The sequence below is a fragment of the Homo sapiens genome, chromosome X, assembly GCF_000001405.40.
Source record: "Homo sapiens chromosome X, GRCh38.p14 Primary Assembly".
Classification (NCBI taxonomy): Eukaryota; Metazoa; Chordata; class Mammalia; order Primates; family Hominidae; genus Homo; species Homo sapiens.
In genome coordinates, this window is record NC_000023.11 from 10,109,165 (window position 1) to 10,132,738 (window position 23,574).

At 50.1% G+C, this 23,574-nt stretch overlaps 1 protein-coding gene across 1 annotated transcript in view, besides 5 other annotated features; it reads left to right on the plus strand.

Moving 5' to 3' along the window:
* Positions 1–23,574, plus strand: part of WWC3 (WWC family member 3) — a 129,221-nt gene that overhangs the window by 93,911 nt on the left and 11,736 nt on the right. The window contains 10 exon segments of the mRNA NM_015691.5: positions 614–856; positions 7,254–7,343; positions 7,960–8,525; positions 13,455–13,575; positions 15,101–15,175; positions 15,860–15,946; positions 16,950–17,142; positions 18,824–18,997; positions 19,393–19,544; positions 20,792–20,957. Of these exon segments, the coding sequence (NP_056506.3) occupies positions 614–856; positions 7,254–7,343; positions 7,960–8,525; positions 13,455–13,575; positions 15,101–15,175; positions 15,860–15,946; positions 16,950–17,142; positions 18,824–18,997; positions 19,393–19,544; positions 20,792–20,957 (1,867 nt within the window).
* Positions 255–972: an enhancer, noted in NCBI's record as "H3K4me1 hESC enhancer chrX:10077459-10078176 (GRCh37/hg19 assembly coordinates)". NCBI's record gives its function as "activates a minimal SCP1, AML or CMV promoter by ChIP-STARR-seq in primed H9 embryonic stem cells {active_cell/tissue: H9 hESC(primed)}" and the evidence as "EXISTENCE:reporter gene assay evidence [ECO:0000049][PMID:30033119]".
* Positions 973–1,690: an enhancer, noted in NCBI's record as "H3K4me1 hESC enhancer chrX:10078177-10078894 (GRCh37/hg19 assembly coordinates)". NCBI's record gives its function as "activates a minimal SCP1, AML or CMV promoter by ChIP-STARR-seq in primed H9 embryonic stem cells {active_cell/tissue: H9 hESC(primed)}" and the evidence as "EXISTENCE:reporter gene assay evidence [ECO:0000049][PMID:30033119]".
* Positions 973–1,804: a biological region, named in NCBI's record as "H3K4me1 hESC enhancer GRCh37_chrX:10078177-10078894".
* Positions 1,625–1,804: an enhancer, noted in NCBI's record as "active region_29408". NCBI's record gives its function as "activates an Ori minimal core promoter by ATAC-STARR-seq in GM12878 lymphoblastoid cells {active_cell/tissue: GM12878}" and the evidence as "EXISTENCE:reporter gene assay evidence [ECO:0000049][PMID:35858748]".
* Positions 10,265–10,559: an enhancer, noted in NCBI's record as "tiled region #7563; HepG2 Activating non-DNase unmatched - State 12:CtcfO". NCBI's record gives its function as "activates a minimal TATA promoter and a strong SV40 promoter by Sharpr-MPRA in HepG2 cells {active_cell/tissue: HepG2}" and the evidence as "EXISTENCE:reporter gene assay evidence [ECO:0000049][PMID:27701403]".

Below are 23,574 nucleotides of genomic sequence, written 5' to 3' on the forward strand. Positions count from 1 at the left end.
ACTTGCTCTCCGCAAGGTGTTTTGAATTCATGTATGGCCAGGGGCTCTGGTGCAGGAAGGAGCACACAGAACCAGAAGACGCGGAGCATGGGGCTTCGAAGGTCTTTCCTTCAGGACGCCAGATGATGAGTGCATTTCTCCTTTGTTATTTTGCTAAAGCGGCTGACAGTGGTTAGACACAGCTGAGGAGGCGGGAGGCCGGCAGCACTTCTGGGGGTCCAGCATGCTGTTTAGCTACTGATGAGGGTGGGCAGAAGAAACAAGCAGACTCCCTCCTGCTCTGGGACAGTTTCATGTAGGAAACCAGGAGTCTGAGCCGCCGAGTATGGGCATGTTGAGGGCTGCTGGCCTTTTTGTCAGTTCTTCGGAACAGGCACGATGGGGTTATTTTCATCTCGAATCTCAGGCTAAGGGAGCTTCAGGAAAAGACTTCTGCACCATTTTTTAGGACATTGTTTCCATATCCTTTTAAGTGTAAGGGTCACTTGGTGTAATCATTTCACTACTTATTTGGCAAAAGGAGTTTATAGAATCAGTGTGAGACGTGGAGAAGGTGTGAAGACGGCGTTTTCAGTCCGCCGATGTCCTTTTTTCCTCCCCGTCTCTCTTGCAGAGTCGCCAACATCCAGCAGCAGCTGGCCCGGCTTGACAATGAGTCCTGGCCAAGCACGGCCGAGGCTGACAGGGACCGGCTGCAGCTCATCAAGGAGAAGGAGGCCCTGCTGCAGGAGCTTCAGCTCATCATTGCACAGCGCCGCTCTGCGGGAGATGTGGCCCGGCTGGAGGAGGAGCGGGAGCGCCTAGAGGAGGAGCTGCGGCGTGCACGGGCCACCTCCGCACAGGGCGCCACGGAGAGGTGGGTCAGCGGGGACACGACCTCCAGCGGAAAGCCTGCTGGAAAAACTCCACGGGGTGGCTTGTGTGTGGCTGGAGGGTGTTCCTGATGATCACTCAGAGCCTCTCCTGCCTGGATGTTCCCTGGCCTAGGAGGGGCATGCGGTGGGGGGCACTGCCTTCTGCTCCCTGGGTCTCTGGAGCCTCTGCTCCGAAGCAGGAGGTGATTGACAAGGGGGAAGGAGTGAGGGAAGATGGGTGACCTCCATCTCCGCCCACGCCCCACCCTTCCTGAAGTTGGTGCTTGGTGCTTCCACCTGCCTTTGTGGGACAGTGCCCTGAGCAGGCTGTGGTCCCGCTCCGGCCCGGGCAGCTCTGTTGCATGGGGGAAGAATTCCCTGTTCCTGACGTGGTGAGCATGGTGGGTATCCACCTACTGCTTTCCTCTCCAACTTTGATTTCTAGCCAGGAGAGCCTGCTCTTCTCTGGCATTGGGAAGCTGGCCACCTGTCGTGCGTCTGTCCTGAGGCTCCTTCACCACGCAGGACATGCAAAGCCAGCATAGTGGCTTTGGTATTCGGTGGCACTGAGTCGTTCAGCCTTTCCTCGTGTGCCGTGTGTCCTGGTTTCCATTTGCTGTGTGAGACTGCAGATTGTGTCAAAGGCTGGGCCTGCCTTCCACACTTAACAGCAGTTTCTCTGTGGCTATCAGCTGGGCTTTTGGAGAGCAGCCCCTCCCCCACGTGTTAAAGTCTTGCCCCCTTGAGCTCACATGAGCAGCTCTACAGAGACTCTAATAGATGCTTGGATGATTCGATCTGTTCAGATGCTCTTACTCCTACTGTTTCACGATGGTTGTATTGTTGGGCGTCCTTTATGCTTGATGTTCATGGGTCATCTTCATAGGAGACAAGTCTGTGGCTTGGCACGAGGGGCTCACGGCAGCCTCAGGGAAGCGGTGGTGTTTGGAGAGTTGAGCTCAGAGTCCTAGGCAGGTGAATTTCATTTTGCCTGAGATGGTGGCATGCCCTGTCACCTCACCCGGAATCAACCGCGAGGAGAATCTGAATGTGAAAGAGCTCTTGCACGGCTGCGTTTGTTTTCAGCTAAACATTTCCTTCTGTTCCACCCCTGGTATTCTTGTATGTGTGTTCTGCGTAGGAGGGCCTGGGAGTTCCTGTTGCTTCTCTGTGAAGGGGGGAGGACTTGGCCCCACAAATGTCGCCTGCATCTCAGGGCCCCACACCCACGCTCCTTTGACTGTGGCTGCTGTCACCATGTGGAAATCCAGCACACACGAGTGCTGTGGCCCCTGAGTACAAGTCTGCAGCCCTCCATGGAGCCAGTGTTAGCCCCGATGCCTGGGTTCAAGGGTGGGGACAGCAAAGCCGGACCAGCTTTGACTCCCATGGGGGTCTCTCGTGAGACCAGCCCAGGTGCTGAGTCCTGGGACTCAGAGCCCTCGACCAGGACCTAATCGCCCCAAGCGTGTTTCCTGAATCTGCTGCTAAATGACCTTGGCCGGAAAAGCACATCCACATGTGCTAAGCACTTGCACGCACATCGCATGGGGGTGGGGCTCTTGTAGCTCTGGGCTTTCTGTGCCGGTACACGCAGGGCCCATTTCTCCACTCCACCTCCCTTCATTGGAGGGGTGTTTGCAGTTTGCAAGTATGAGGCCACATGGTAGGAGGCTTCCCCCAGCACAGGCTGGCAGCATTAGGAGACCCGGCGTGGGCCAGGTGCAGAGAGAGAGTGAGGTTGGTGCCTTAAGGCTGAGCCGTGCCAGCTGTAGAGCTGGGCCCAGTCTGCCTGTCTCACCTGCAGTGTCATCAGCAGCAAATGGGAGGCGTTTGCCGGGCTGGGGGTGTCATCCGGGGGAGAAAGAGAGAGATGCGCACCTCCTTCAGGCCTCCCGCCCCGGCAGATGATACGTGCGGCGGCCTCCCAGCTGCTCAGAGCCAGCATCTCTGGAGGGAGCTGGTGCACGTCTCCTGGGCTGAGGGAGCAGGCTTGAGGTGAAGGACACATACCCTAGATAATCTCTCGGATGGCTCGTGTCAACGCTTGCAACATCCTTTGCTATTTTAGCTTGCTCATGTTAGTGTGTGGCAGGCATTTATACAAGATGCTGATGTTCAACAGAGAACCCCACGGCTCTATTACAAGATGCCTGCCATCCTGAGAAATTCTCTTTCCAAGGATGACTGCTTTTATTATAGGGGTGATTATAAAATGAAAGATCTATCAAAAAGCAAAAATTTTGTTCTGCTGAACCTGAAGTCATGTTTTCCTTTGTCATAATTTAATGACATCTTTACAATAAAGTACTTTATGTAAAGTAAATAAAGACAGTAAATTAGACTTTATATTTTCTTAATCTGTTAGCTTACTTTTCTACTCCTTTTCATAGCAGTGGTAAATATTCTTTGAAGTTCGTTTCATTTGAATTGGAGACACAAGGCTATGTGCTTTAGGAGTTGGGCCCTGGCCAGTTTTCTGCCAGGAAACTGTATCCCCTTTTCTTTTTGTTGAAAAAATAAGTACAGAAGTCAGGCAAATGTCTAAGACTCTTATTTTAGCAGTTTATGTTCCAGCCAGTTTTTTAGATGTCTCAGTTATTGCCAGCGTGGCCCCTGTTTGGTAAGGAAGTTACATTTTTAGTCATCTGCAACTTTCAGAATAACCAGCATAAAATTAGACTGCAAATGTGGGCAGTCATGGGCACTTGTGTGTGATCTTGTATCCAGATGCGCTGTCTCTTGTGCGCTCCGAAATGCACCTGTTTGTATAATGACAAATGTGTTGTATTGGATAGAAGGGGGGAATTTGATCTAAAACTTTTTTCACTACAGATAAAACAATCTGAAAATAAGTCATGACTAAAGACAGTCTAAAACCGAGCCGTACATATGAATGTATCTATATGTCATATGTGTGAAAACAGAGCTGGAATGCGCTGACGGATTTAGCGATGGGTTGGAAATTCTACCCTGGTCACTCAAGAGTGGAGCCAGTTTTCAGTAGGAACTCAATTTAGATTCTATTAATTTGGGATTTGAGCTAATAGAATTCAGGTTGGGTTAGAATTTCTGAAAAGCATTAAGAAAAAAGTTAGTAGCCTTGGACCGGGCTTGGGTAAATTCCCTACAACAAATGGCTTCTTGGAGCTGGTCACTGTTTGCCACTGGATACGCTCTGCTGGTGTCGTCTCTGCCCCTGGAGTCCTCTGTGACTTAATAGTGTCCCGGTGCTTGTGAGAGTGGGTTCCAAGTTACAGCTCCAAAGCTCAATGAAGGATGTATTTTGAACTCACTTTTAAACTCCCTTTGAAAACTCTCGGCTCTCCATCTTCTGAAAAAGATGGGGTTTTTGAGGATATCGCCCTTGATAAGCGTCAGATAGGATGTGAGTATCACAGAAAATTGGGGAAATGTTTTTCAGTAGTAAAGGAAATGCCTGTTTGTTGGTAGTGTGCCTTGGCTTTAGGGTCAATCCAGCCTGACCGAACTTTGAGCTTGCGTAGCAGACGCAAGCTACTTTATATGAGTTTCTTCATCTGTAAAGCAGGAATAGAATCCAAAGACCAGTAAGGAATGAGGCAGTGCATAGAAAGCAGTGTGCCTTTCTATAAGCCCCTCAGTGGAACTTTTTTTTTTTGAGATGGAGTCTCGCTCTGTCGCCCAGGCTGGAGTGCAGTGGCACGATCTTGGCTCACTGCAAGCTCCGACTCCCGACTCCCGGGTTCACGCCATTCTCCTGCCTCAGCCTCCCGAGTAGCTGGGACTACAGGTGCCCGCCACCACGCCCGGCTAATTTTTTGTATTTTTAGTAGAGACGGGGTTTCACCGTGTTAACCAGGATGGTCTCGATCTCCTGACCTCGTGATCCGCCCGCCTCGGCCTCCCAAAGTGCTGGGATTACAGGCGTGAGCCACCGCGCCCGGCCCCAGAATTGCTTTTTAAACGTTACTTTCATTTGTACAAGCTATCAAAACATTTTCCTTAAAAATTAAAATATCATAGGTAAGTGGAATCTTAGAACATTCTACTCAAGAGTTTATTACAGCTGTTCTCAAACATTTTGGTCTCAGAACCTCCTTCCGATGTTAAAATGCTGAGGATCCCAAAGAGCTTTTGTTTGTGTTGGTTTTTTTAAAGTTCTTTTTTCTAACTGTTTTGTTTTGTTTTTCATTTTTCCCCACCCAGGGACCTATCAGTGTTTATGTGGATTTTTATCTGTCAGTATTTGCTAATTTAGAAGTTAGCGCTGGGAAATTTTTAAAATATTTATTTATTAAAGATAACAATAGGCCGGGCACAGTGGCTCATGCCTGTAATCCCAGCACTTTGGGAGGCCAAGGCAGGAGGATTACTTTAGTTCAGGAGTTAGAGACCAGCCTAGGCAACATGACAAAACCTCATCTTTACAAAAAATACAAAAGTTAGCTGGGTATGGTGGCACATGCCTGTGGTCCCAGCTACTTGGGAGCCTGAGGTGGGAGGATGGCTTGAGCCCGGGAGGTGGAGGTGGCAGTGAGCTCTGATCGCACCACTGCACTCCAGCCTGCACAACAGAGCAAGGCCCCATCTCAATAAATAAAAAAAGACAATACAAACCCTATTATGTGTTAATATTAGTAACATTTTTATGACTGATAACTTTTTTGAAACAAAAAACTATAGTGAGAAGAGTGGTATTATTTGCCCTTGCTATCCATCTCTTTAGCGTCTGGCTTGCTAGAAGGCAGCTGCTTTGGCCATTGGTGCATTCGGCCTGTTGAGATAGGGTCATTTTGAGTGAACACGTGAAGACCATCTAGCTGCTTACCGATATGCCATTGGGAAGGAGGGGACCTCATAGGACCCCTGAAGGAGTTTTGGGGATCCGCCAGGGGTCTTTGGATCATGCTTTGGAAACCATTGGTTTCAATATATGATATTGAACTTGAAAGTGGGTTGTGTCGTGGCTCCATTTAGGACGATGCTTGTTACTCTCTTGCCAGCTGACCTCTGCATGGCACCATTTGGAATTTTGTTTGCATCAAGAGAAACAAAGGCTCATCAGAATTTATGGCATGTGGTTGAAACTTGTAAACAAACTCAGACTGGTTTGTCTTCCTTATCCTAAGTTGGTGGCGCATCTGTTTCCTTTATGGGTGATAGCAGCTCTTTGTCAATCACGTGTCATCTGCCGTACATTATTTTATCTATGCAGCATCAGTTCCCTGAGCTGGAGATTGTGGACTCCATTTTTACAGGTAATGAAACTAAGGGCTCAGAGAGGGTGAGACATTTGCCTAAGGCCACACAGCTTGTGAGTGACTGGCCAGGTGGGATTCTCTGAATCCCAGGCTGCTGTCAGACACTGTGTCTGGTTTCCTCTCACTCCCACCTAGCCAAGCTCTTTAAACCCCTTCGGCATGTCCCCTTCCCTGTTGGTGGAAAGAGGAAGGTATTAAAGGGGCCTACTGTGGCCACACGTCACAGTGTCATTTCCATTTGTAAACCAGGAGTGTTTCCTTCTAGAGGCAAACATATTTATTCATGGAGTTGTCCAACAACTGTGTATTGAGTGCCTATCCACAATAGGCTCGATTCTAGGCGGTGGGCCTACTGCAGTAGGAATAAATTTTATTCTACAAAATTACTAAGTAGAAAAAAGTAGAAGGAAGGAAAACAAAAATACCTCCAACCCCATGGCCTGGAGATGGCAACGGCTGCTGTTTTGTTTCATTTGCTTCTAATGTTTTAACTGTATAGATCTTAGAATTATATTTGTTCTTCTCTAGAAGGTGGCCTAGTATGAGGGAATCTGATTTGTTCCAAGGAATTTCAACAGATGACTGCGTGCTCTGCGTTTGAGCTCATCTGCTAGTTATCTGTCCTTCTGCTCACTTACCACTCCTCCCATCCATCCAAGCAGCCATCCCCAGCCACCCACCCAGCCAGCCATCTAGCCACCCACCCAGCCACCCACCCAGCCACCCATCCAGCCACCCATCCAGCCACCTACCCAGCCAGCCATCCACCAACCCAGCCACCCATCCAGCCACCCACCCAGCCACCCAGCCACCCATCCAGCCACCCACCCACCCATCCAGCCACCCACCCATCCAGCCACCCACCCACACATTGACCCATCCCTGTGCCCACTCCTCTTCTCACGCATCCCCTCCCCCGTGCACTGTGCCTGGCGCTTCCACAGAGTAGCAGGCACTGCTCAGGGTGCCAGGGATGTATTTTTCAAACGGGACAAAAGCAGTCTCTGTGATCTTGGCCCTTGTGACCTGGGTGCTTTTAGAATGGGTGGTGATTGCAACCTAATTCAGCTGGAGGGAATTGATAGTGGACTGTCTTGTTATGAAAATATTCTCCCTGTCTTTGAAATGTACTAATCGACTGTCTTCTTACCTACAGGATTCTGCTTCAGGAAAAAAGGAATTGTCTACTTATGCAGCTGGAAGAAGCCACCCGCTTAACATCCTACCTCCAGTCCCAGTTAAAAAGGTAGGTTACTTTCAAAGAGAAAACTGTACTTGTTCATCATGTTCCAATGACTGGTACATGAACTCGTTTCTTGTAGCTTGACCTGAAATGTTGTTAACACAGAATGGATACATTATATTTTTAACATGCTACTACTGTATGACTCAAGGAATATGGAGAGAACCACATTTGGCTTCAGGGTAAATAAGAGGCCTGAAGTCAGATGTATTCAAGGATTTTGTAACCTAATTAACAGTTTCAGAAGTGTACATCTATACACGTGCGCATTTTTGTTTTGGGTTTTTTTTAAAAGCATACGAACTTTTTAAGCTAGTAAGATTTGGCTGCTCAAGAATGGCCAATGTCAAGGGCCTCAGATGTGTCATTTTCTCAGATATTCCTCCTAACAATGCCCCAGGTGGGAACTGTTCTCACCCCAGCCCCAGTGGGAGCCCAGAGGGGGTGAATGGCTTGACCAAGTGTACCTGGCTAGTATGTGTTCCAGCCAGGACTGGGACTGGGACTTGGGCACGGGTCTCTGCTGTTGCCCACTGCTCTCTGCCACCCTTTCCGTGCTCACAGGGTGAGCAGGGGTGGCTGCCCTGCCATCTCAGATGGCCATGCTGTCTCATTTCAGCCTGTGTGCCAGCACCCTGACGGTGTCCTCGGGGAGCAGCCGCGGGTCCCTAGCCTCCAGCCGTGGGTCTCTGGCCTCCAGCCGGGGCTCCCTGAGCTCGGTCAGCTTCACGGACATCTACGGCCTCCCGCAGTACGAGAAGCCCGACGCTGAGGGCAGCCAGCTTCTACGCTTCGACCTCATTCCCTTCGACTCTCTGGGGCGAGATGCTCCCTTTTCAGAGCCCCCAGGCCCCTCGGGCTTCCACAAGCAGAGGCGGTCCCTGGACACGCCCCAGTCCCTGGCATCGCTGTCCTCCCGCTCCTCGCTGTCCTCGCTGTCGCCCCCAAGCTCGCCCCTGGACACGCCCTTCCTCCCTGCCTCACGGGACTCGCCGCTGGCGCAGCTGGCGGACAGCTGTGAGGGGCCAGGCCTGGGCGCCCTAGACAGACTGCGGGCACACGCCTCGGCTATGGGGGACGAAGACTTACCAGGCATGGCGGCCCTTCAGCCACACGGGGTCCCCGGGGATGGGGAAGGGCCGCACGAGCGAGGACCCCCACCAGCCAGCGCTCCCGTGGGTGGAAGTAAGTGCGGATGTGGCCTCCTGCGGGGCGAGGGTTACCTGCAGGGCGGAAACTGTGGGGTCCAGAGTGAGGATGGCTGGCTTTCCAGGTCCATGGTGAGCTTTACGTTTAGGAATATTGATGTGATCGGGAAGAGCACACACCTGCTCTTTCTGATCTGTGTTGGGGAAAGATCATTGAAATTGACAAAGTTGTCTTTCCTAGGTATTTGGCTTGTTTTCAAAAAATACTTAATTGTTGAAAACTAGGGTAAGAACTACACAGGCTTCCACATTCAGAGGCTGCTGGAGATGGATTAGGGCCTTCATGACCTTTGCAGCGTGCGTGCCGAGATGGAACCGTCAGTGTGTGCCCGCCTGAGACCATTATGCCAACAGGTGTCTGGTTGTAGCTAGTGGAAATCTTGACTTCTTTTGTTGCTTTGACATCTCTTTATCTTTTATAGTTTTCATAGTTTCCAAGAACATAGGTCTATCAAATGTGGAAGTGAAAATAATTGTGTAATTTCAAAAGACATGCCTGTAAGTATCGGTCATTTCTACTGATTTGGTTTCTCTGGTGATTCTTCAAATGGAAAAACACGGAGCTCCGTGGAGCCTCATCCATTCAGTTGGTGTTGGTTCAGCTCCTCCTCGGAGCTGGGGTCTTTCAGCTTGTAGCCTGCTTGGAAGACCAAACTGCTATTGAAGGGAATATTGACCCCATGTGCTTTTCTCAGCCACCCATGGCAACTTTATCTTCCTTTGGTTTTAAAGAGGATCAAGAACAAGGTCTCCCGTTCCTGAAGTTCAGCCCATTTAATTGACTTTTATTTGCACGGCAAAAATGTTTTAAATGTTCCATTTAGGCAAACACTAGATAATTTGTGCAGCATAGTGGATCTCAGCCAGGGGTGTTTTTGCGTCCTGCCCCTGGGGAACACTTGGCAATGTCTGGAAACATTTTTGGTTGTCACAACTAGGGGATGGGAGATGCTCCTGGCATGCACAGGGCAGCACCCCCTCCCCCTCGAGAATGGTCCAGCCCCAAATGTCAAGAGGGCTGAGGCTGAGAAACCCTAGTCACGTACTATGGAGTATTTATGCGGCAAGGGGTAGAAATAAAACTAGAGAGCAGAACCAGTGTGGTGTAGTGGAAACAGCTTCAAACTAGCAGCTGGGAGACCAGGCTTTTGTTCCCTGCCCTGTCCACTTCTAGCTGTGTGACCTTGAACACATACCTGGACTGAGTCTCACCTTTTCCACCCTTGAATGCAGTGATCTTTGTGACCCCTTCCATTTGCCACCATTCTGTTACCCAAGAGATAGATGGATTGGTAGATCAATAGATAGGTTGATCACTCTATAAAATAGTAGTCTGTTGGCACTTACGTGCGTAACCAGAGGCCATCATGTTCTGAGACTGCCCCAGGGCTTTTTGGCATCTCTATTTTGGTGTCTGCCCCTGTGTTTGCAAACACACTTTGGTATCCCCAGATACATTGTTTCTGAAGTCCATATATGCAGGTATCCTTCATTAGCTTTGTTCCTCTTTATAACCACAGGTTGATTGCTCCATGTTTATTCCGTTCAGTCAGAAAAGAAATATCCAATTAGGACTTCTTTCTTAGTCTCCCTCCTCTCTCCCACCACCTTCTCCTTAAGGGATTGAGATTCCAGAATGTCAGTCTAGTTAGGCATAAAATCTGCACAAGGCCCAAGGGCCACTTTGGGTCAGAGGAGAGACAGAGTGGGAGGGAGAAGCGCTGACTTAATTTCACATCCTGGTTTCTTTATTTTTTCCTTTGCTTTCCGTGGCAGATGCTATAATGGTTGAAACTTCTTGGACTGGGAAGTATTTGCTTACGTGTGTAGACACTGCCATCTCGTGGTGGAGCCATATGTCATTCGTGATTATTTCTTGTATTACACTGCCATCTTGTGGCGGATTCGTATATGACATTGGTGATGAATTCTTGTATGGCACTGCCATCTGGTGGCGGATTCTTATATGACACCGCCAATAAATTCCTGAGTGACACTGCCATCTGGTGGTAGATTCTTATATGACATCGGTGGTGGATTCTTGCGTGACACTGCCGCCTAGCGGTAGCTTTTTATGATACTGCCATCTGGTGATGGTTTTATATGTTACATATATTACATTGTTTCAAGGACACATATGTATTATGTTGTTCTAAGGACACGTTTATTTGTATCCTTAGAAACTTGAAATAGTTGACCCTGCTGGGTGTCCCCAGAGGGCCGGGTTGGGTAGCCAGCTTCAGGCATGGACACAGGGGGGGCTCCTCGCCTCCCCTGCCCCATCATGTATCAGCTGTGCTGGGAACACTGCAGTCTAAGTTTGGCCCCCAGCAAGTCTTAGTAAGACAAAATTTTTGTAAGATAAAAATCAAAGTTGTCCAAACTTGCAAACCAGCCTCTGAATGATTTTTTCCTTGTGTTTTCAATCAATCGGAGGAAACAGAAGGCAGGTCAGAGGAGTGGGGCAATACACTGTGATTTTTCATACTATTTACGTTTTTGTTACAGTTTTGTCTTCCCTGGATTTTAAAAGTCAAATGTGTTATGATTATGAAATACTTAGCTATTTTCATCTACCCATTAGTATTTGCTAATCAAAACCTGTAAAAATCTTGACTTTGCTCATATTGATGTTTTTATGATATTGATATTCTGTTTAATGTTGTTGGCTTAAATTCTGCAGTGTTTTCACTTTGTGCTTTTTTTTTTTTTTATCTCCTCATGCGGCTCGACAGAAGTGCTCACTGTAAGTGGCCTTGGGAGTCCCCTTGCTCAGCGTTGTTGCTCAGGCCCCAGGCATACGTTTGTGCTGTGGATGGATGTGTTCAGGATGGCTGGGGTGTGGCCAACGACGGTTATCTTATAGCTGTGCTTCAACACAAGTTGGCAATTGGCCTTATTGTTATCTCATTGTTAATATTCAAGCTGTTTAAGAACTTTCCTAGAAGCTTTCACTGTTCATTCCCTGTATGTGTTTGTTTCTGGAATGTAATGGCGTTCGTTGCTGTCATATGCCACCTGGCAGCTCTGCTATGCTGTGGTTTTGACTGTATTTTCTTCCTTTTTACCAAGCACTGTTCACATCCTTGGCTCTTAGTGTCTGTCTGTCTTGAATGATGAAAAGGGAGTAAAGAGATTTTCACATGAACATGGGGAAGATTTGACCCTTGTCTCCCTGGCACTGCTCCTGAGGGTCCACCTCTGTGCCTTGAAGCCCCAGGGCAGGTGTCCGGGGTGTGGAGCGTGGAGTCTGTGCTTTTTCTCAGCCGGGGCAGTTGCCGACAGGACTTCCTCCTGGCAGTTCCTACTTCCACCCACCCTGTGGGTCCAGTGACTCAGCCTGGGCTTCGAGGATTAGCTCCTTCATTTCTTTCCTCTCTGTATTGACTTCTATGGCAATGATGAGAGAGAAACGTGGCCAGACTTGCGCCTTGGGCTGGGTTGGTTGCAGGTGCTTAGGCTCATTACCTGGTGCTGTTTCCCTGCAGGCATCTACAGCTGAGTCTGGGGACCACGCGTGTCAAGGCTGGGAATGCAAATGGTAGTGGTGGTTTCCTTTGCTGGGGGTTGATGCAGTGGTTGGGGGGGCTTCCATTTGCAGTTGAGGGCCAGGTGTTTGGGTCCTTCCATGTGGCAGGGATAAAGAGGAGAGCTGGCATCTGGAGTCATGATCTGTCTGAGAGGCAGTGCCTCCGGCCACCGTAGGATGGAGGCCAGCTTCCAGCCCTGGCTGATGGGGGAGAAGCAGCGAATTCTCCAGATGTGGTATGGCAGACCTTTGGAAGATTCACTCGGCCTCCACTTAACCTTGTGAGACCAAAGGCCACAGCCCCATGTGTTCTGCGTGCTGTTGAACATGTTTGTATTTCATTGGCGTGGATGATAATTTGGTTGAAAGGAGAGATGGTCACCAGTGGACTCAGTTTAGGAAGGCACAAAGGTCAACCCTTTCCGTTTCTAGAACTTAGCCAAAGAAAAGTGCGGAGATGGAAGCGGGAGCTGGCTTTGAGTGACGGTGGAGTGCCCAGCTGGGGCTTCCAATTTGATTCCGTGTTCCAGCCGAGTGTGCCCCTCCACAAAACAGACTCCTGGGCTCACAGTTGCATTTAGCGCGGGAAGATGATATACATGTTTGTATTGGTTTTGTTAAAAGGAACTTATTGCTATGAGGAAATGGGTAGAAACGGCTGATGAAATGTTAAAAGGAAACATTTCAATGGCTATTTTTGGCTCTTGAATAAAATAGATGTGAAAGATAAAAATAAGCATAGCAGGAATAGCAGCGTGCTAACCCAGAAGGGCGGCTGGAAGGCTCCTGCCTGCGGTCACTGAGACAGCCACGCTTGAGCCCCAGCTTCCTCCCCCGGGGCCGCAGGCCTCCCAGGTGGTGTTTTCAGAGAATGAGTGTGGGTTCAACTGTGTCCTCTGCTTTGAAGGTTGCTAATTTTTCTAGGGTTTATTTGGATAATTAAAATGTTTTTTTCCTGAGTATAAAAGCAGTATTTGTTGTATAAAACATGGGAAATACCCGACAGCATAAAGAAGGCAGTGAAAACCATGACCTCTTGGCGAGCGCCGCTGCTGTTCCCATCGGGCTAATGCTGCTTTCCTGTCTCGTTTGTGTGCGCGGCTTTCAGAAAGTGCCATTTGAGGGGCTTCTCATCGTCATCTTATGTTCTGTGTGTTCATTAAGGGGGTGGAAATAGATTTATGAATCCAAGAGGTAGCAGAAGTTCATTTCTTCAATTTTCCCATATGAAAAACAACTAGAGCACAGCATGTCTCCGTGTGTGTGTGTCCCAGCGAGTCTCTGGAACACTCATTGACGAAGTGTGTGCTCCAGCGTCAAGGACCCCGGTCCCCGGTGCTGTTATTTCCTGACCCTGTGTGTGTCCCTTACTTACAGCAGTGACTCTTCGAGAAGACAGTGCCAAGAGGTTGGAGAGGAGGGCACGCCGCATCTCCGCATGTCTGTCGGATTATTCGCTAGCCAGCGACAGTGGGGTGTTTGAACCTCTAACCAAAAGGTCTGAAGCTAGTCTTACTATTTCCTTCTCCCTACGCAGAATCACCTGTGTTACTGGCAATCACAAAAAGATTCCGTACTGAAACTTTCATACATTGACACTTTGTTTATTTTTCCAGGGGTAGGATATTTTTCTAGCTTCTTTCACCTTTGGGTGATTGGGTTTTAGAAAGAAGTCTTTCTCCCTGGCCCTGGGGGCCTAAGGCTTGAGTCTGATGGAGCTCAAAAAGGAGAATCAATGTATGGGAGAGCCCTGCTTTTCTGGAAAGGACATTCATTCATTAGAAATGAATTTCTTCCCTCCCTCCCTTCCTTGTTTTCGTAGCTATAGGAATGGTTTCACAATGACACAGCGCCTTTTGGAATTCCATGCTTTATTTTGATCGGGCATCTTTGATGTCATTATTTCTTTGTACAATTTAAGTCTCCGGTATCTAGAAGACAGTTCACTTAAAGTTAATTTTTGAACATTTCCTCAAGTATTACATGTGGTTTTGAAAGGCGTGCAAGGTTACTTTCTTCTTTTATTTATTTATTTTTTGTTTGTTTGTTTGAGACAGGCTCTCGCTGTCGCCCAGGCTGGAGTGCAGTGGTGCAATCATAGCTCACTGCAGCCTCAAACTCCTGGGCTTAAGCAGTTCTCCCACCTCAGCCCCACAGATATCTGGGATTATAGCACACACCACCGTGCCTGGCTAATTTTTGTATTTTTAGTAGAGATGGGGTTTCATCATGTTGCCCAGGCTGGTCTTGAACTCCTGGGCTTAAGCGATCGGCCCGCCTCTGCCTCCCAAAGTGTTGGGATTATAGATCTACTCCACCATACTTGGCTAATTTTGTTTGTATTTTTAATAGAGATGGGGTTTCACCATGTTGGCCAGACTGGTCTCAAACTCCTGGCTTCAAGTGATCCACCCACCTCAGCCTCCCAAAGTGCTGGGATTACAGGCATGAGCCATCGTGCCCAGCCACAAAGTCTATTTTCCTAAAACAGGAACAACATAAGAAATAGGCTGGGCGCGGCGGCTCACGCCTGTAATCCCAGCACTTTGGGAGGCTGAGGTGGGCTGATCACCTGAGGTCAGGAGTTTGAGACCAGCCTGGCCAACATGGTGAAACCCTGTCTCTACTAAAAGTACAAACATTAGCTGGGCGTTGTGGTGGGTGCCTGTAATCCCAGCTACTGGGGAAGCTGAGGCAGGAGAATCGCTTGAGCCCAGGAGGTGGAGGTTGCAGTGAGCCGAGGTTGCACCAGTGCACTCCAGCCTGGGCAACAGAGCCAGACTCTATCTCAGAAACAAAACAAAATAAAACAACAAAAATACCCAGCAGTTTGTAGGCAGGTACCCAGTAAGATGCCTCATGGATTCTGGGGGCCCGCCCTGTTCCTTCAGACACATGATGACCTCATTGACTTAACGTCACAACTTAACAAAGCCCTCTCTCAGCACGAGGGAGCTCCTGCAGAATCTGTAGCGACCGGTTCCCTCAGGAATGAAGTTGGTTGCATTTACCCCTCTGTTCAGGAACGAAGATGCCGAGGAGCCTGCCTACGGAGACACGGCCAGTAACGGAGATCCCCAGATCCACGTGGGACTCCTGTGAGTACAGACCCTACCCTGTTTCCCCTGGGGCTGGGCTGGAGACTGGGCCCAACCCGTGGCTCCCACCTGCACACACAGGGCTGGAGGGACCCTTGTTACCCGAGGTCTGAGGTGAGGGGACAGAGGTGGCAGGAAGGAGTGACAGGGAAAAGTGGCTCCACTGTTGTCTTCCAACATGGAGATTCACAGCTGAGAGCCGCCACTTCCTGGAGCTGGGGGCTCCGGCAGGCAAAGTGTGGCTCTCGGGGACAGTTGCGCCCGTGTCTGCCAGGAGTTGGTTCTGCTCACTGCAGCACAGGTAGCGGACTCCCTCCCTCACCGTCAAGGAAGTAATCCGCTGGTTGGCAGGACAACAATTTTTGGTTTCTAATTACAGTGTCAATAAGGGCAGTGACTGTGAGGTGCCCCTGAGGAAAACAGGGTGTTTGGGTCCCAGCCATTTCCTTTGCTCACTCTCGTCACTTCAGTCCAGGGCTCCTCCACCTGGCATGGTTGGCATTTGGTCATTCTTTGTTACGGGGACTGTGCTGTACCTGGGCTTTACCCACTAGGTGCAGATGTCTCCTGCAGATAGGGTGGGGCAGAATCCCAGGCAGTGGATGGCCACTGCTGCAGTTGAGTCAGAAGGATGGTTTTACTTGGGGGGCACCTGCCGTCCATGACTCGTGTCTGGTTTCCTAGGCGCGACAGTGGCAGCGAGTGTCTCCTCGTGCACGTGCTGCAGCTGAAGAACCCGGCGGGGCTGGCGGTGAAGGAAGACTGCAAAGTGTAAGCCAGGCCCCAGGGCAGTGGCCAGCCAGCCACATGGCTGAGGAGGGAAAAGACAGTTTGGGAGCCTGAATTTCCAGGAAAGCACCAGGGAGTGTGTGTCTGAAGTGTAAAGTCTTCAAAAGAGTCTAGTGAATGATTTGAGGCTGGTGAAGGTGCCGGTGCTGGTGGCAAGCTAGTGTGTGCCGTGTTGGCGTGGAGGAAGCACTTGCCTGTGCCGTACAGGACTGCATCCTCCTGGCCCGGGGATGGGGTTGCTGATGTCGTCGTGCTCTGCTCTGTGATCTTGAGAGACCTCTGGCTGGGACCAGGGCATCCTTGACTGAGCGGGGAGGAGGAAATAGGCATTGGGAGCAGCTGGTGACTTTGGCCTCGATCGTGGGAGCGCTGCCTCTCTGAGCTCCGTGGCCCCAGATGGGGGCCTGATGGAGGGTCCCACTTACCCAAGCAGGTGACCATGCCTGTAATGGTCTGTTCAAGTCGCAGGGTGGGGCCCCTTTGGTGAGTCTTCTAAAGGCCTCAGGATCCCTGAGTGTGAGCAGCTGGGGGCTCGGCTGGGGTTCGGCCACCCCAATGACCTCTGCAGTGCTCACAGATGGCTCAGCCCCTCCCATGTGCCAGACTTGGGGCAGGGAGGGTGGGAAATACGGGCTACCCCATGGGTGATGGGCAGAGAAAGCAGTGGGGGAGCCATGCAGAAAAACCAGAGGGGCGATTCCCAAAAAGGTGGGGAGCAGCAGGGCCTGGAAGCATCCGCTGCTTCAGTCCTGGCTTGGAAGTCATCCTCCTTGTGAGTGACTTCCCCCATCCCTGGGGTACATCGTTCTATGCTTAGTTGAGAAAGGAACTTTTTGCAAAGGACTCTGAGACTGTAGCCACAGCTGCCCAAAGGGGGCTGCACGTGGGGGGTCTGTGCGCATTGTGTAGGTCGCGCCTGCTCTGGGACTGCGCCATCTGTGAGCGCCGCCTGCACGCGCTCTTCCCTCCCCCGTTCTGTTTGCAGCCACATCCGAGTCTATTTGCCCCCACTGGACTCGGGCACGCCCAACACTTACTGCTCCAAGGCTCTGGAGTTCCAAGTGCCGCTGGTGTTTAACGAAGTGTTCAGAATCCCCGTGCATTCCAGCGCGTTGACACTGAAGTCACTTCAGTTATACGTGTGTTCAGTGACTCCGCAGCTGCAGGAAGAACTGCTGGTATGGCGCCAGGCTCCGCCCGCCCCGTCCTCCTTCCTTCCTTCGTGTTTCAGTCAGCCGGTCTTTTTTTTGTGTGTATCTTTCTTTCCCTTCTTTCTCTTGTACTCTTTTGTGATGCTTTCTTAGGTTTCGTATGTCTTTGCCTTTTGGCCTCCCTCTCTCTCTTCTGCCTCCATCTCTAGTTCCCTCCCTCCTTTCCCCTCTGCCATCCTCCCTTTCTCCCGTGGTGGGTTGCTTGGAAGTTGTGATCTTCTTCAGTGTTTCTGTGGCTGGAAATACAAACAGGGATGATCCAACCAGTGATGTTGTCAAGCACCTTGTCCTCTAAATGTGTCCTCTCAACTAGTACTCACGACCCTGTGGGATGCCTTTGCGTCAGCCCCATCTTCAGTCCAGGGAACAAAGTAGGGTTGACAGATTTAGCAAATAGAAATACAAGACAGTCAGCTAAATTCGAATTTCAAATAAATTATGGATGCTCTTTAAAGTGTAAGTATTTCCCATGCGGTGTTTAAGACTCACAGGGAAACCCTGTGTTGTTTATTTGAAGTGCAGATTCACCTGGGCGCCCTGCACGTTACCTGGCAACCCCGGGGCGAGGCCTCAGGAGAATCCGCAGTTTGTCCTCAGTATCCCAGCCATCCAAGGCCCATGCCAGGGTTGGAAGCCAGGGTGGATTCCTTCCATGGCCAGAGTGTTCTGTCTTGGTTCTGTCCCCTCAGCGGCACAATTAGGGCATGTAGAGTTCAGCAGTCGTTTCTTATTTCAGAAATTCCTGAGCGAATCTGCCTCATCACTGCAGTAGAGCTGTGAGCCTGGCCCAGCACTCCAGGTTGCCCATTCTTTTGCCCTTTCTGATCCCTTCCCAGCACTTTCTGATTGGGCGGAACAGGCGACCAGGGAGCCACCCATTAGACTCCTCTGCAGTTGCTTTCATTGTGCTGCAGTCCTTTAAGTAGGAATGAAATCTTTTATGTCTTGTTTGGTTAAGATTGAAGGGTAGCCTGGGCACAGTGGCTCATGCCTGTAATCCCAGCACTTTGGGAGGCCAAGGCGGGTGGATCACCTGAGCTCAGGAGTTTGAGACCAGCCTGGCCAACATAGCGAAACCCCATCTCTACTAAAAATACAAAAATTAGCCGGGTGTGGTGGCGCACACTTGTAATCCCAGCTACTCGGGAGGCTGAGGCGAGGGAATCTCTCGAACTAGGGAGGGAGGTGGAGGTTGCAGTGAGCTGAGATCGCACCACTGCACTCCAGCCTGGGCAACGGAGCAACACTCCATCACACACACACGCACACACGCACACACACACGCACACACACAAAGATTGAAGGGTGAACTGGATTTTTTTGAGACAGGGTCTCACTCTGTTGCCCAGGCTGGAATGCAGTGGTATGATTTTGGCTCACCACAGCCTTCTGAGTAGCTGGGACCACAGTTGTACATCATCATGCCCGGCTGATTTTTAACTTTTTTGTAGAGGCAGAGTCTTGCTCTGTTGCCCAGGCTGGTCTCGAACTCCTGGGCTCAAGCAATCCTCCCACCTCGGCCTCCCAAAATCCTGGGATTACAGGCATGAGCCACCTGCCCTGCCTGAACTGGATATTTTAAAGGACTCTAGTCATCACGGCGAAATCATTCAGTGCCTGTTCTGGCATTTCTTTAATACCCCTGCAGGGCATTGCTCAGATTAACCTGGCTGACTATGACAGTTTGAGTGAGATGCAGCTGCGCTGGCATTCCGTGCAGGTGTTCACCAGCTCTGAACCATCAAGGACGCGGGAGGCTGGGTGTGCAGGAGAGAGCTCCGCCCGGGACCCTGCACACACCATCTCCATCTCCGGCAAGACGGTACTTGGCCCTGCTCTAAGGAGCTGATCACTGCTGCCTTCGTGACCCTGAGACTGGCTTTGTCTTGGGGAAGTCATTTCTTAGAAGTGTCTTTGTAGACGTAAGTCAGTATAGTGGGGTAAAGGAGTAGAGTTTCCATATGGCCATTGCATGCGAATGTTTTTTTAATGCAAATGTGTTCATGGTCATGGGTGGTACACTGGCTAGTTTTAAATATGAGCCCTCAGAGCTGCAGGAGAAGGCCACATGAATGCCTCCACCACAGACCTAGGTAGGGTGAGTTTCTTCTCACGGAAGGGCAGCAGAGTGGCCTCCTACCTGTGCCATGTGGACACCTGCCGTGTGCGCAGGGTCTGCTGGCCTGAGCTGTCCTCACGCACCCCCTCTTCCTGCAGGATGCGGTGACGGTGCTCCTGGCCAGAACCACGGCACAGCTGCAGGCGGTGGAGAGGGAACTGGCCGAGGAGCGGGCCAAGCTGGAGTACACGGAGGAGGAGGTCCTGGAGATGGAGCGCAAGGAGGAGCAGGCCGAGGCCATATCCGAGCGGTAAGGGCTAGCTCAGCGGGCAGGCTCCGGCTCATGCCCTCCCTGGAAAGGAGCATGGGTGCCCTGTGGTCAGAAGGCTCGTGAAAACTGTCAGGGGGGAGCACATTTTCTCTGGGGAGACAGCCAGTGTGCCAGGCAGCATGGCTGTCTCTGAGGTGCACTTGCTTTCCTCAGCCATGCCTCCATAGAAGGTGCTGGGCAATCCTTAGGCACCACTGCCCAGAAGTCGATTCTGGTGGAAATTGAGTGCTGGTGTGGACGAGGGCAGCTCCCCGAAGTCTCTCTCCTGACTCTCACGTGTGCTTTTCACCTTTTCCTTCTGTCTGTCCTGGAGTTTCTTGTCGAGAGTGGGACTGTTGAAGCACTGCCCTCTCCCAGGATTGGATACAGTAAGGTCCCTTGAAGTTGTTGGATTTTTTTCTTTTTTAACACCTGTATTGAGATATAATGTACCTCCCATGCAGTTCACCCGTTTAAAGTGCACAGTTAGGTGGTTTTTAGGACTGAATGGGCACAGTCAATTTTACAGCATTTTATTTTCATCACACACTCTCTGCCTGTCCCTAGCCAAATGCGCTCCCAGGTTCTCCTCTGATTCCCTGCAACTACAAATCTGCCCTCTGTGTCTATGGACTTGCCGGTCTGGACACTTCCTACAAATGGGGTCATGCGGCGTCCCTTTCTGCTTCACGTGAAGCAGCCTATTGGTGAATCCTTGGCCCCGTGGAGACCTGCATGCGATAGATGAATGATTCCGGTGAATGGGTGCCCCTGGTGCCCTGGTTTGCGTTCATCGTCTCTGGAGGTGCTGTACATATTGCTGTACTTCCGCATTTTTCCATAAAGTGCGCCATCTTTCCAGGGCTTCCTGCTGCTTCCCAGTGGCTTTCCCTGAGTTTAGTTTACAGAGGAATTTATTTTGGGGAGCGATAGTGCATGCAGAGGGGAAGGTGTTGTGTTCAGGGATGGACAGGAGTTGGGAGGGGTTTGGGGCTGAGTGGTGCAGTTTTCTGGGATCTTCAGTGGCTGCCATTGGTGACAGAGAAAGCCCCTCTTAAGTACAGTCCTTCAAGAGCCATCTTCCCTGGAAAACAGAAGCGCCCTTTTACTTTATGAGAGATGCAACAGTCTTCAATCATTGGAAAGAAATAGGTTGTATTGCATTACCTCTACTACTGTGCTCTAAGAGTAGCATGAAATACATCCCGTTTGGTGACCATTTGGGCTTCTGCAATGTCCGCCTTCAGGAGTTGGCAAGCGGACTCGGTGGATAGCGGCTGTAGCAACTGCACCCAGACCAGCCCTCCGTACCCAGAGCCCTGTTGCATGGGTATCGACTCCATCCTGGGCCACCCATTTGCTGCTCAGGCAGGGCCTTACAGCCCCGAGAAATTTCAGCCCTCGCCTCTTAAGGTAAGTAGAAAACATAGGAGATTGTCCGGAGCCCCTCACCCCAAATATTTTGCCATACGTACCAGGTATACTGCCCTGGAAGGAGAGGCTGTGTGCCCCCAAATTCTTCGTGAGAAGTGTGAGGGGATGGGGGAAGATGCACCAAAGGCAAGCAGAGCCGAGGCTCCCAGGGAGGAGAGCCACGTGGCTGACCTGCACACACACACGCAGTGGCCCGGGTGTTGTGGTGTAAAATGGGCACTGCTGTTGGATTTGGGGGCCACAGCTAAGGCTGGGTTTACTGTGAGCCGAGGAAAAGAAGTGAATGGCCTGAGATGTGTAAAGGGCTTGAATAGGCACCGCTGATCCATTCCCACCTTCAGGGACAAAGAGGCTCTGGAGGGTTTGTGAGTCCCATAGGTTTTGGACATTTGTAGTTCCTCTTCCCCTTTTGTGAAATGTAGAATAGTGCTGTCCTTTTGCCCCTTCTGCTCATCTGCTCCTAGCTGTACTGTCACCCTGTCTTTAGGGGAGAAGTCTCATGTTTATAGTGCCTGTGAGGTCAGGGAAGGCACTGTCAATGCTGTTTTGAAACTTTGTTTCCCCACTGTTCAGCTCACAAAAGTATTTTATCACCCTCACGCCCCTGCCCTCACCCAGAAGCACAAAGTGAAATCTGCCCCCAGCAGCTTCCCAAGCTGTGACCCACAGCAGGTTCCTAGTTGTTGTTTTGGACCAGGCTGCTGGTCATGGCCCTTGTCCAACTTTCTGAGATCTCAAAAAGCAGCAGCCCAAGCCAGGGCGAGTGGCCGTGGGAGGGTTTTTTGGTGTTTCCCCTTCCCTCAACTTTTAGTTTTGAAAAAGTGAAATCTGCAGTAAAGTTGCTAGAATAATGCAACAAATACCTGTACACCTCACCTGGATCCCACAGTTGTTAGTTCTTCAGCACATTTGCATTCTCCCTTTCTGTGTGGGCATCACAGATACAACAAAGTTAGTATAGCGGGTGAGTAGGAAAAAAAAAAAAAAAAGAACACAAACTCCCACCCTCGAGAGGGAGGCGCCAAAGGAGACGTTGCTATCATACGTTCATGTCACAGAGAGCAAGGCGGCTTCTGGAGAATGCAATGGCAGGGAAGCGGGCAAACACTTGTAGAGAGGTTTGCAGTTTTAGAAAGGGTTCACATTTAGAAATGTAAATTTATATTTACATTTTACAAACATCAGGATGATAAAAGGGTGCAACTGCTACGGAAAACATTATGGTGGTTCTTCAAAGCATTAAAAATAGAACCACCACAGGATCCCGCAGTCCCGCTTCTGGGTATATCTGGGTGTATATCCAGAAGGGTTGAAAGGATCTTGAAGAAATATGTGCACACCCATGTTCATAGCAGCAGCATTATTCACAGTAGCCAAAAGGTGGAAGCAACTAAAGTGTCCATCATGGATGAGTGGATAAAGAAAACGTGGCCTATCCATGCAATAGAATATTATTCAACCTTAAAATGGAAGGAAATTCTGTCACGCTGCAACATGGATGAGCTTTGAGGACTCATGCTGAGTGAATAAGCCAGTGTGAATATTTATTTGGTCTTCAACTCTTTGAGTTGCATGTTACCTGGCATGCAACTCCTAAAATCCTTAGAATCTGAAAATCTGTCGCCCAGGCTGGAGTGCAGTGGCGCGATCTCGGCTCACTGCAAGCTCCGCCTCCCGGGTTCATGCCATTCTCCTGCCTCAGCCTGAAAAAAATCTTTTTATATGCTAATGAGTTACTGGTGGCTGGCTAAGAGAATAGAAAAGCACAAAAAGACAAATACCGTCGTGAGGTTCCTGGAGTAGTCGAATTCACAGGGGCAGAAAATAGAATGGTGGCTGCCAGGAGCTTGGATGGGGTGCGGGGATGTGTTACAGAACGGAACTGGGGTCCATTCGCCCGGTGCAGTAAAACCAGGTGTCTGCACGAAGGTGTTTTGCACTGGTGGAAAGAGGGCATTTATTTGCAGGTGCCAAGCAAGGAGATTTGGGCAGCTCACATTTAAGACTCAGCCTCCCCATGCCTTGCAGGGAAGGGTTTTTAAAGGCAGAGGTAAATTTCAGGAAAGCGGCAGTCACAGGCAAAATCCTAAACCAATCCATGGAGGTTACACGTTGCTTTTGGCCTAGAAGGATAGGATATCTTAATGTGGGGGCTTACAGGACGTAGATGGATTCAAAGATTTTCTGATTGCAGTTGGTTCAGGAGGCAAAGCTTTGTCTAAAAATTTGGGGTCAGCAGAAAAGATAGTTAGCTCTGACTTGTAGGTGTGACTCCCTCCAGACCCCTCAGGAAGAGATTCAGAATAAAGAGCAAGGGTCAGAGTGCAGTCCTCAGCTCCCCCTTATCTGAGATCTGTGCCAGCGGGTCCCTTTGGTGGGGGTCTGGGTTTCTGAAAGACAGTCGGGGACATATGTTAAGATGTCTTTGGTTTCTTTTTTTCTTTTCTTTTTTTTTTTGAGATGGAGTCTCGCTCTGTCACCCAGGCCGCAGTGCAGTGGCGTGATCTCAGCTCACTGCAACCTCTGCCTCTTGGGTTCAAGCAATTCTCATGGCTCAGCCTCCCAAGTAGCTGGGATTACAGGCGCCCACCACCAT